General features: G+C 39.6%; 1 protein-coding gene across 26 annotated transcripts in view; it reads right to left on the reverse strand.

The window, feature by feature from the left end:
* Nucleotides 1–12,200, reverse strand: part of ACACA (acetyl-CoA carboxylase alpha) — a 321,845-nt gene that overhangs the window by 191,288 nt on the left and 118,357 nt on the right. For all 26 annotated transcript variants that reach the window (XM_011524701.2, XM_006721853.2, NM_198834.3 and 23 more), the window contains 4 exons: nucleotides 8,559–8,691; nucleotides 6,988–7,126; nucleotides 1,617–1,726; nucleotides 754–835 (listed from right to left, as the gene is read on the reverse strand). In XM_011524701.2, coding sequence (XP_011523003.1) covers nucleotides 754–835; nucleotides 1,617–1,726; nucleotides 6,988–7,126; nucleotides 8,559–8,691 — 464 coding nt within the window. The remainder of the gene's footprint in view (nucleotides 1–753; nucleotides 836–1,616; nucleotides 1,727–6,987; nucleotides 7,127–8,558; nucleotides 8,692–12,200) is intronic.

Consider the following 12,200-nt stretch of genomic DNA (forward strand, 5'->3'; position numbering starts at 1 on the left):
TAAATGTATGCTGAATTAAATTTTTGACAAATCTAGCTATAATGTTATCATTCTTCATGATCCAACTTCACCAGATCAATAAAGTCTTCTTTTTTAAGTCAATATCCTGAAATAAGGACTTTAAAGTTTTAGGATTCAAGTCTGAAATAGTATACGCTCTTTGGTCTTAGGGGAACCCAAAAAGGAGACATCTTTAAAAAGGTTTACAAAACATAATCTTCATTGTTTAAGGTCTCTGAGACCGAGAGAAAAATACTTTGAGCTATATAACCTCTGTTTTTCTCTCTGGTATAATGACAGCAGAAAAGTCAGAAGAAGTATCTCTCACTTGTAGGAGTATCACCTATATGCTTAAATGCACAGGTGCTGATTCATATTTAAGGGCACACTGCCAAGGCATCCTGAGTATTCAATTATCTTCACTATCTAAAAACAGGTCATTTTCCCACATGCTTTCTTAAGGTTAGCTGCAAAGTTTTAAAAGGTCAGAGTTTTAGAAACCAAAGCCTTCTCCATATCTCCATATCTGACCCAGGGACAGAAAACAAAATCAAGATGAAGTGAGATAAGCAAAAAATGAAAAAAAAGAAAGAAATGAAGAGGGTTACTCTGAGAGTTAGTAATAGATTGAGGGAAAAAAAAAGAGAGAGAGAGCCCAGCACATGTTAAACAGAAAATCAGACTATAGAGTAAAATGTGGGCAAAATTGACAGAAAGAAACAGAAAGACGGACAATATGTCAGAACAGCTTACCCATGAAGGCAATGCCATTTTTCAAGAGAAGTTCCGGTAGTTTGGGATTCTCAGAAGCATGACCCCAGCCAGCCCACACTGCCTGCAAGGGAATACAATATAATTCATTCTTAAAATTCATACAAAACCCCCACAAACTGCAAGAGTCTCTATCCAGGCTGGCCCTGTTTCTTGAGGTACAGTAGTTCCACAGCAGCCTAATGCTTAATTCAGCTTCTATGCTTGATTGTTGGCAAACTCTTTACAGAGTAACAATAAGTAGTCCATTGTGGCAAGATTTCTGAAGGGGTCAAAACCAAGTTGAAATTGATATTAAGATCCAGTTATACTTGTTGCTCTTTAGGAAACTCAATTCATAGCCTAGGCTGTAAAGGGCGTTTTCTAGAAAAACTGGCTATGTTTCACATATTCAATTACTATGGCCACTCCATTACATCATTATTGATTACACTGCCATCTAAGTTTAGAGTTTTTTCCTCTTTGGGCTTTAAGGTACCTACCCTAAACTTACTAACACAATGTGACAGGGAAGAAACAGCCTACTTCTTTAATATACCACCATCCTTTAGGCTAATATTCCACAACAAACAGGTAATTTTTACTGGCTCAAAGGTGAGATACCTAGAATAAATAATCTCTGAAAGATGCTTCCAAACCTTCTGTTTGTATTACGTTTACTTTATTTTTAGCCATTCCATTATTTCCATCTTTCTTTTCCTTATTTGGTTTAGTTATCCCATACACAGGCATTTAATAATTTTCGAAAATGATGCTTTACAAAAATGTTCTTCTCTAGATATCCCCTTGTGCCTAACTATAAAATGGCTGAATTTGGTTTTAAAGGACACATTGGCATCTCTTACTTGTACTGGGATCCTTTTAGCAATATCAAGAATTAATTCCACATTTGCATAGTTGTTGTTGTTTGGTCCTCCAGGCACTGGCACATAGTGATCTGCCATCTTAATGTATTCTGAAAATGCAAGCGAATTAATAGAGAACACATGATTTTTTTTTCCAGAAATATAATTGCACAGCAAAACTACGTAAAGGTCAGGGACTATCATAAGTAACCACAGGACAAACAGCATTAGTAGGATAATTTCCAGGACCATTTAGTTCGAGGCTCTTAGTTTGTTAAGTCACAAGCACTAATACGAGTTAATCCCATATTTAGAAGCTCTTATAGTAAAATAGCAATTCTCCAACATTTCACTATGTAATCTTTCTGAGGAATCTTTATGACTTCTATATCAAGGCTGATGTGTCTGTCAGTTAGGGGCCCAAGTGCAATTACTCTATTCCGAGAAAAAGTTCTAGTCCTGACATCCTTTGTCTTTAACTGGCACTGGACCTAGAGAAAGCCCTTTTCCTGGTACAGAGCTTGACAGAATGGAGAAAGATAGGAGAGCCTGAATGGCTTGCAAACTGGCTAAACAAGAAAGGTTAGTTACAGGAGTGTCTGGAAAGAGTTTATCTGGAATACTGAGGGTAACAGGTATTTGTAAGAAACTTTAGAAAGATAACCACTTTCTCATATATATTTGTTGTACAGTATTCCCTTTCAAATTTGTCACCTAACATCTCTATTTTCCTATTCTGGCAATGACAACTGTAACAGAAGAGCTACCACGTGTAGGGACTGTAACTAGCACTTTGTATATATATTATCTCATTTAATTCTCTCATCAACCCAATATGTGACAGAAAATGATGGCTTGGAGGAGTTAAGTAACTTCCTCAAAGTTCATTTCCACCATTTATAAATTTATTTTAGCTTTCAAATTTCAACTCAAGCATCCACCATTATTTACTAATAATAAATTTATTTTATCTTGTTCTTTTTTAAAAATGTAAGTTCCAGGATACATGTGCAGGACATCCAGGTTTGTTACATAGGTAAACGTGTGCCATGGTGGTTTGCTGTACCTATCAACCCATCACCTAGGTATTAAGCCCCACATGCACTGGTAAAGGACAGGAACAGACAGACACTTCTCAAAAGAAGACATTTATGCGGCCAACAAACATATTTTAAAAAAAACCTCAACATCAGTGATCATTAGAGAAATGCAAATCAAAACCATAATGAGATATCATCTCATGCCAGTCAGAATGGTGATTATCTTGTTCTTATTTCTAAAAGATTTTAAGTCCCTTCTAAAAAAAATTCTACTAAAAAAAATTCCGCTAGAATTTCTTCAAAATTAAAATAGGCTTATTGTTCTCTTTGATTATAGGAAGGAAAGCATGCAAATTATTAAACAATGTTAGATAATACAACAGAATATAACAATACTATATTTTAAAAGTGAAAATTGGCCAGGCGCAGTGGCTCACGCCTGTAATCCTAGCATTTTGGGAGGCTGAGGTGGGCGGATCACGAGGTCAGGAGATGGAGACCATCCTGGCTAACATGGTGAAACCCCATCTCTACTAAAAATACAAAAAATTAGCCGGGGATGGTGGCACAAGCCTGTAGTCCCACCACAGACAGAGTGAGGCTGAGGGAGGCTGAGGCAGGAGAATCGCTTGAACCTGGGAGGCAGAGGTTGCAGTAAGCTGAGATCACGCCACTGCACCAACCTGGGTGACAGAGCAAGACTCCGTCTAAAAAAAAAAAAAAAAATTAGCTGGGCCTGGTGGTGGGCACCTGTAATCCCAGCCACTCGGGAGGCTGAGGCATGAGAGTCGCTTGAACCCAGGAGGCAGAGGTTGCAGTGAGCCGAGATTGCGCCACTGCACTCCAGCCTGGGGGACAGAGTGAGACTCTCACCTATTGTCCCACCTCAAAGACAACCAGTTTATGCTTTACTGTACATAAATATATATATTTTTGGTATATATATGTTTAATATTTTTTATGGATACCTAATATTTCAATAGCCTATATAATTCATTTGACTACTAACTTATCAATGGAAGTACAGATTATGTATAATTTGAAAAATAATAAAATAATGTGTGTCTCTGTACGGCTGTCCAATTATATCCACAGATATGTTACTAGCAATAAAACTATTGGGTCAAAAGGTATTCACATTTTCAGACTCTCACTAGCAACATGGGTACCAAATACTCTCACCTATGTTAGGTATTATCAATGTCTTCAATTTTGTGAGTTTTGTAAGTTAAAAAAAAATCTTTAGTATTGTTTTGGTTTAGATTTCTTTTTTGTTTGTTTGTTTGTTTTTGAGACCAGATCTCACTCTGACACCCAGACTGGAATGCAGTGGCATGGTCATGGCTCACTGCGACCTCGACCTCCCGGGCTAAAGTGATTCTCCCACCTCAGCCTCCGGAGTAGCTGAGACTACCGGCATGCGCCTCTATGCCCAGCTAATTTTTGCATTTTTTGTAGAGACAATTTCACCACATGGTCCAGGCTGACCTTGAACTCCTGGGTTCAAGTGATCCGCCTGCCTTGGCCTCCCAAAGTGCTGAGATTACAGGCGTAAACCACCATGCCTGGCCCTCCATGCTTTTTATCAATAAGGTATAATCTCTTAATCTTAAGGTAGAGTATCTTCACAGATAACATGAAGAATAATATGGTATCAAGGATTTGCATCAAAATAATTGTGCACGGGGTTAAGAATATAGATGAAACTAGATTCGCCATAAGTTGATAATTATTGATATTGCATGACAGGTAGATGGGAAGGGATTCATTATACTCTTCAACTTTTACATAGTTAACACACACACACACACACACACACACACACACCCCAAAAAACACATTCATTTAAAATGCAAATCCTTAGATGTCCAACACACACACATACTCTCCTTAAAAGACAAAGTCTGTGCTTTTGAGGATGGAAAACAAGGTCCCCCTTGGCAAATACTATATCACATCTTGTAGCCATCCGTAATTTCTAGAAAACCACTTGTGTCATACCTTTATGCATTTGCAATGCTGTTCTTTCTGTCTGGTACACCTTTCTCTCCCCCCAATTGCTTCACTAACTCTTACTCATTCTTGGTTAGACATAATCTCTTTCAGAAAGCTGTCTTTCTCTCTTTTTTTTTTTTTTTTCATTGAGACTGAGTCTCGCTTTGTGGCCCAGGCTGGAATGCAGTGGCACGATCTCAGCTCACCACAACCTCCTCCTCCTGGGTTCATGCGATTCTCCTGCCTCAGCTTCCGAGTAGCTGGATTTACGGGCACCAGCACCATGCCCAGCTAATTTTTGTATTTTTAGTAGAGATGGGGTTTCATCATGTTGACCAGGCTGGTCCCAAACTCCTGACCTCAAGTGATCCACCCGCTTGAGCATCCCAAAGTGCTGGGATTACAGGCATGAGCCACCACACTCAGCCTAAGAAAGCTTTCTCTTAAGCCTGCCCCCAAGAATTAGATGTCTCATCTCTGTGTTCTCACCGGACCCTGTGCATGTTTCTTTTATAGCACTTACCTCATTGTATTGAAATCATTTGTTTCCTAGAACAAGATCACATCTTATTCAACTGTCAATCTCCATGTTAAGTGAATGAATAAATGAATTAATTGGAGTACCAGGTAGAAATGAATGAGGAAAAAGAAACCGGACCGGGCGCAGTGGCTTACACCTGTAATCCTAGTACTTTGGGAGGCCAAGGCAGGTGGATCACAAGGTCAAGATACCGAGACCATCCTGGCCAACATGGTGAAACCCTGTCTCTACTAAAAATACAAAAATTAGCTGGGCATGGTGGCACACACCTGTAGTCCCAGCTACTTGGGAGGCTGAGACAGAAGAATTGCATGAACCCAGGAGGCGGAGGTTGCAGTGAGCTGAGTTTGCACCACTGCACTGCAGCCTGGTGACACAGCAAGACTCCCTCTCAAAAGAAAAAAGAAAAAAACCACGCAAGTTAATCTGTATTTATTATAGATGATCTCATCTTTACAATTATCCAGTGAATTAGACATTAGGATCTTCCTTTTATAAGTATGAAACTTGTGGCTCAGAGATGTGAAAGTGTGCATCTAAATGATTTCATATAATAACATGATATAGTTTGAATGTATGTCCCTCACCAAATATCATATTGAATTGTAATCCCCAGTCTCGGAAATGGGGCCTGGTAGGAGGTGTTTGGATCATGAGGGCAGCTCCCTCATGAATGGCTTGGGCCATCTCCTTGATGATACGTGAGTTCTCACTCTAAGTTCACATGAGATCTGGTTGTTTAAAAGTGTGTGGCACCCTCCCCACAATTCTCTGTGTTGTTCCTGCTCTGGCTATGTGATGTGCCTACTCCCCCTTCATCTTCCCCCAGTAAGTGTCCTGAGGCCTCCCCAGAAGCAGAGCAGATGCCAGCACCATGCTTCCTGTAAAGCCTGTAGAATTGTGAGCCAATTAAACCTCTTTTCTTTACAAATTACGCAGCCTCAGGTATTTCTTTATAGCAATGCAAGAATGATCTAATATATAACATTTGCTTTCTAATAAATTGGTGTCTTCTCAATTTCTAAATAAGATGATATAATAACCTTTCTTTCTTAGGAATAATCATAATACCATTGTCTCAACAAAGAAAAAACATATGCAGACTAAAATAAGTATAAAAGGATAGCTCTTTTTCGCAGCTTCCTAGGAGTAAAAGATAAAAAAAAGTAAAAAAACATAGCTCTTCACATTATCTGTGGGTACTCTACCTTAAGAGATTATACCTTAGTGATAGAAGGTATGGAGAAGAAAGACTAGTCATATCTTTCAGCTATACCAACAGTCTTTATCTACAACTATCAGACAGAGAACCATCTGAGTAAAAAGAATATGTAGCCGAATTTACAGAGTGAAACACACTTCGGTCCCAAAAGGTCTCTCCCTCAGGAAGAGAAAAAAAAAATCTTAACCCAAAGTTTTTCTATAATTCAATATAACGCATAAGGAAAAAACAGCATTTCCTTCTAAATCTTTCCACTTACGCATTCCAAAGAATGTGGCATAGCAAATATTTAACACTGAAAAAGGCATACACTTGAAAGCCCAAATCAACACTTTTGTTAAATTTCTTCCTACTTATCCCTAGGACACAGGAATCTGTATTGAGGTTGACTATAGTGCAATCATTTTTATATGTCTATTACTGACACATTTTAAACAGAAATTATTTTAAAAGGATTTTACTTGGAAGTCCTATGTTTGGGAATCCCCCTAAGTTAACATTCTCCTACTTAAAGGCTGTGCTGTTCCATGTTTTAGTTTTGAGAGTGATGCTTTCATAATGCTAATAACTCACCTGCATTGGCTTTAAGGTCTTCAGGTGTGACCATGACAACGAATCTAATTGCACGTTCATTTCGAAACATTTCATAAGACCACCTACGGATAGACCGCATGCATTTCACTGCTGCAATGCCATTGTTAGCAATAAGAACCTGGGAGGGGGAAGGAGATGGGAATGGGAAGAAAAGGCAGAAAAAAGCAACAATGGAGGAAAAGAGATGAGAGAATTTTTACATATCTATCTTTCTGTGTAAAAGTCATACTTTCAACCAAGAATTCTTGTTACTGGTCCAGACTGTTAGAAACTGGCTTCCCCAAGGCCAAGCAGTATCTTTAAATGTTAACTAAGCAAATACTTGAGTATGTGCCAGCTAAAACATACTCCTTTCTAACTTCATTTATTTGAAGGGAAAAGTCACAATTACTTAAATCTGTGACTTTGTGAATTATTCTACCATACTACCATATTGTGGGTATGGTATATTATGAAATCAGGAATGGGGGAAGGCCAACCAGTGCAGTGCCATGCACTCTTCTCTGTTGCAATAAAATGAGGTACAGAGCACTGAACATGTTTAAAAACCCTGGTATTAGTTACTTTTCTCCAAAATACTGAACTCCAATACCTTAGAATTGTAGAGAATGCCTCAGAAAGAATGGTCACTGTTGTAGAAAAATAGAATAATCCTGAGACTTTCTGTAAACAAACCTTTCGTCTCCTTACCTATCTTGCAGTCATGCCTCTAAGGATAACACAGACTAATAGACACATAATCTGTCTTTATTGGAAGACTAATAAAAGGATGCTGATGAAGTAATACTTTTAGGAGTGGAAATACAGGTCCCCATCCTTTAATCTTTTAATCACTGGAAGCTATTTCAGCCAAGTCATCCTCTCAGCTCTGACATGGTTTAGACAAAAGTGACACGGAATTACATTTCAAAATACCTGGAATCTCTAAGTATATCATGTGGTATATTCCCTTGAAACATCTCAAATACTTGGTGGAAGCCAGTAAGTCACAGTGTATCAAACTCTTTAAGCCTTCTCTTCTGAAACTCTCTCTACTCCCTTAGCTTTCAAACCAGTGCTGTGGCATATTATCTCCCCACCAGCACCCACAAGCTAATCAATTCTTCATACCCTGTCAGATCAGTGCAGCCCCACCCTGTAAAACCACAAGATCTTTCAAAAACATGTTTTGTTTGAGACAGGGTCCCTCTGTCGCCCACGTTGGAGTGCAGTGGCACAATCCATAGCTCACTGCAACCTTGAACTCCTGGGCTCAAGTGATCCTTCCATTTTAGCCCCCCAAGTTGCTGGGACTCAAAAATAACTTTATGAGCACTATTTTAACTCCTTAATTAGCTATGATTAAATTATCTGTGGTAAATACATATTATAGGAAAACAGTGAAATTATATTAATAGGATGCTAGGGAGGCAGAAAGGCTAAAATTCACATAAAGAGGCAAAGCCTCTGAGAAACTAAATATCAATTGGGAGCAAATCTAGACAACAAATCTAGGCAAGCATTAAATCCTAAGTGCTTTTGACAAAATAATTCAGCAAGTTACAACTTACCTTCTCAATCACTTTATTTCCCCCAAAGCGAGTAACAAATTCTGCTGGAGAAGCCACAGTGAAATCTCGTTGAGAATCTATTTTCTTTCTGTCTCGGCCCTGCTTTACTAGGTGCAAGCCAGACATGCTGGACCTATAAAAATACAGAAGCCATAAAAACACCACCTATATTTTCTGGAGACCTGCTTTTCACTACCATACCCATAACAGTACTTTCACAACTGCATCCTGTGAAGACTGCATGCTGGCAGGTCACGTACTTTTCAAATAAAAGAGAGAAAAGAAAATGATCTTGCTTGTGGAAATTTAAGGAAAAAAAAGCGTTTCTGAATAATAAAAGATAATATCAAGGTTTACCAGCAGATGCCATCACAAAGAGATAGGCAAAGGATAAATGGTAGAAATAATAGACTCAGAGACCGTTAAAGCCAAAAAACAAGTTACCAGGGTTGTTTCTGGATCACGACTCTGGTGTGCAGATGACCTTCACCTCTGTATCTCTGACTTCTATCTTTCTTCTGAGCTATAACTCCACATTTTAAAACTGCCTACTAAATGTTTTACCTGGGTATCTCCTAGGTATTTCAAAATCAACAACTCCAAAACAAAATTCTTTACAAGGCAGCATAATATGCCATATTTAATCAGTTTTAAGGTTCTACTTCTTTTCTTTTTACTTTAAAAAAATCTCCTAGGCCGGGTGCAGTGGCTCATGCCTGTAATCCCAGCACTTTGGGAGGCTGAGATGAGAGGATGGCTTGAGACCAGGAATTCGAGACCAGCCTAGGCAACATGGCAAAACCCTGTCTATAAAAAAAATACAAAAATTAGCTGGCACAGTCGTGTGTTCCTGCAGCCCCAGTTACTTGGGGTGGGGGGTGGGGGGCGCAGCTGAGGCAGATAAATTGCTTGGGCACGTGTGGTTGAGGCTGCAGTAAGTCATAGTCATGCTACTGCACTCTAGCCTGGGTAACAGAATGAGATGGGTGTCTCAAAAAAAAAATCTGAAATTGGTATGTATTTTACAATTGATGCCTTATTAAATTGGCAGTACTGTTTTTGTTGTTGTTTTGAGCCAGAGTCTCACTCTGTCGCCCAGGTTGGAATGCACTGGCCAGATCTCAACTCACTACAACCTTCGACTCCCAGGTTCAAGCGATGCTCCTGCCTCAGCCTGCAGAGTAGCTGAGACTGTAGGCGCGCCACCACACCTGGCTAATTTTTGTATTTTTAGTAGAGACAAGGTTTCGCCATGTTGACCAGGCTGGTCTCGAACTCCTGACCTCAGGTGATCCGCCCACCTCGGCCTTCCAAAGTGTTGTGATTACAGGCATGAGCCACCGCGCCTGGCTGGCAGTACTGTATTTTTTCTTAGTGGTACATAAAATAACAGTGTTTCTAACAATCAATGGCACCTTGGATTAGACAAAATATGATAGTGGAAACAGCACAGGCCTGGGTTTACATTCCAGATCTGTCCACTTAAATGATCTTTTGCAAATAATTTAACCTTTTCAGCTTCAGTGTTCTCTTTGTAAAATATGCATGATATTTACTGTCCTGGTTATTTACCTATTGTCTCTCAGCTCCAAACCTACCCTTTTATGCTGTGCTCTGTGACAATGGGGCCAAGATTCTGCAAACTTCATTTCCAAGACTCCTTTGCTAGCTCCTTCCTGTTCTGTTCACCAAACCGGAAGGCAGAAAGGTAAGAAAAGGGCCTTCCTTCCTATTTCCCAGCTGTTATCAGTATTGCTCCAGCTGTAACAGAGACTTAATTCCAGTCTCTAGCTTCTTTCAACAGTCTGGTGAAAAGCCATAGAGGTACCAGCAGCAGTGGGTTGTGGCTCTTTGGCAGTCAGAATATCAACCTTGCCATGCTCACTCATCCTCTGGACCTCACTGCCTGGGCCTATCAATCACCTGTCAGGCCAAGGATCTGAGTACCAGCTACCCAAAGCTTATGCCCAGAGGTCCAGGCACCAGCCCTCCAGGAGACCTCCACCAAGCTCCTAGTTCTGGTAACACTACCTCCCCTTTTGTTCTCCCAGACTTAGAGGTGATAGCTACTTCCTCTAGTTATTAACTCTGGGGTACCTCAGCATGCCTTTTTTGTTGTTGTTCTTTTATTCTTCTAACACCCAATTATGCAATTCTCGCTATTGAATGTTCTCTGTTTATAACACCTACTACAATTTATTTTCCTTGTGACTGCACCTTGACTGATAGACCCTCCAAAAGAGTGTTCAGAGGATTAAATAAGATAGTGGACATAAGCTCCTTTGTACACCGTTTGATAGACAGCTGTTTTCTTTTCCTATTCCCACCTTTTCTTCCTTTCCCCTACAATTTAAACTTGATGGGGCAGTAAGGTGTCTTTTCAAAATAAGAAGGTATGATTAAAATCTTCCCACATGCAGCACAATATCTAGCTTTCTGTGCACATATAGTTTTACATATACATACATAAATAAGACCAGTCTTTCTTTCTTCTCTGAGTGTCTCTATGCATAAAACTCAATGAGTGGGCATTTTCCCTATACTTCACATGACTTAGTGTGGCTCTTAACTTGCAAAACCACCACCTACGGGAGTATAACAAGAAGGGACAAGGCCAGGCATGGTGGCTCACACCTGTAATCCCAGCACTTTGGGAGGCCAAGGCAGGCGGATCACTTGAGGCCAGGAGTTCTAGACCAGCTTGGCCAACATGGCGAAACCACGTCTCTACTAAAAAAAAAAAAAAAAAAAAACAAATATCCAGGCATGGTGGTGCACGTCTGTAATCCCAGCTACTCAGGAGGCTGAGGTGGGAGAATCACTTGAACCCAGGGGGCGGAGGTTGCAGTGAGCAGAGATCAAGCCACTGCCCTCCAGCCTGGGCGACAGAGCGAGACTCTGTCTCAAAAACAAAAAGACAAAAAAAAAAAAACAAGAAGGGACAGTTCAGAGTCTAGCAGCTACTTTGCCTACTAGACTTAAGGACAGACATAACAAAGGCTATGCACTCTGCTGTTGGCACTCAATATAAAATGCTCTGTACCCTTCTTAGAGACTGACATTTCAAGCTGGTCAATCTATTAAAATTTTCTTCATCCTTTTCTATCCAGGTATTTAGTTATACTGCATCTGGACTGGAACTTTAAAGTTAAGAGGCACCTTATAGAAAAAGAGGCCCACAAGGAGAATGATTTGTCTAAGGTCACAAAGGAAGTCTGTAGCATATATAGACCAGAAAACCAGGTTTCATGGTCATTTCAATGTTCTTCCAATTACACTATGCAACATATCTAATGATAATAAACACCAGAGGTCTAAAAACAGTGCCAGTGTACATGTTTTGTTTCATTTTTTTAATCACTTCATTTTTCTTTCATACATTCTTTTTAATTTTTTTATTATTGCATGTATTTTTAAATAAATAAAAATTACCTTCCTGTCCTTAACTTTGTCATGAACCTATTTCTTTTGGGCCCCAAGTCCATGGATCATTATCAGTGTATCAGACTGAGCAATAACATGAATGAATCTCAAAAACCTCATGTTCAGAGAAGGAAACCAGACACAAAAAAGTATATACCATATGACTCCATTTATATGACAAGGATAACTAATCTACAGTGCAGAACACGAATCAGTGGG

Source organism: Homo sapiens, chromosome 17, assembly GCF_000001405.40.
Source record: "Homo sapiens chromosome 17, GRCh38.p14 Primary Assembly".
Lineage (NCBI taxonomy): Eukaryota > Metazoa > Chordata > Mammalia > Primates > Hominidae > Homo > Homo sapiens.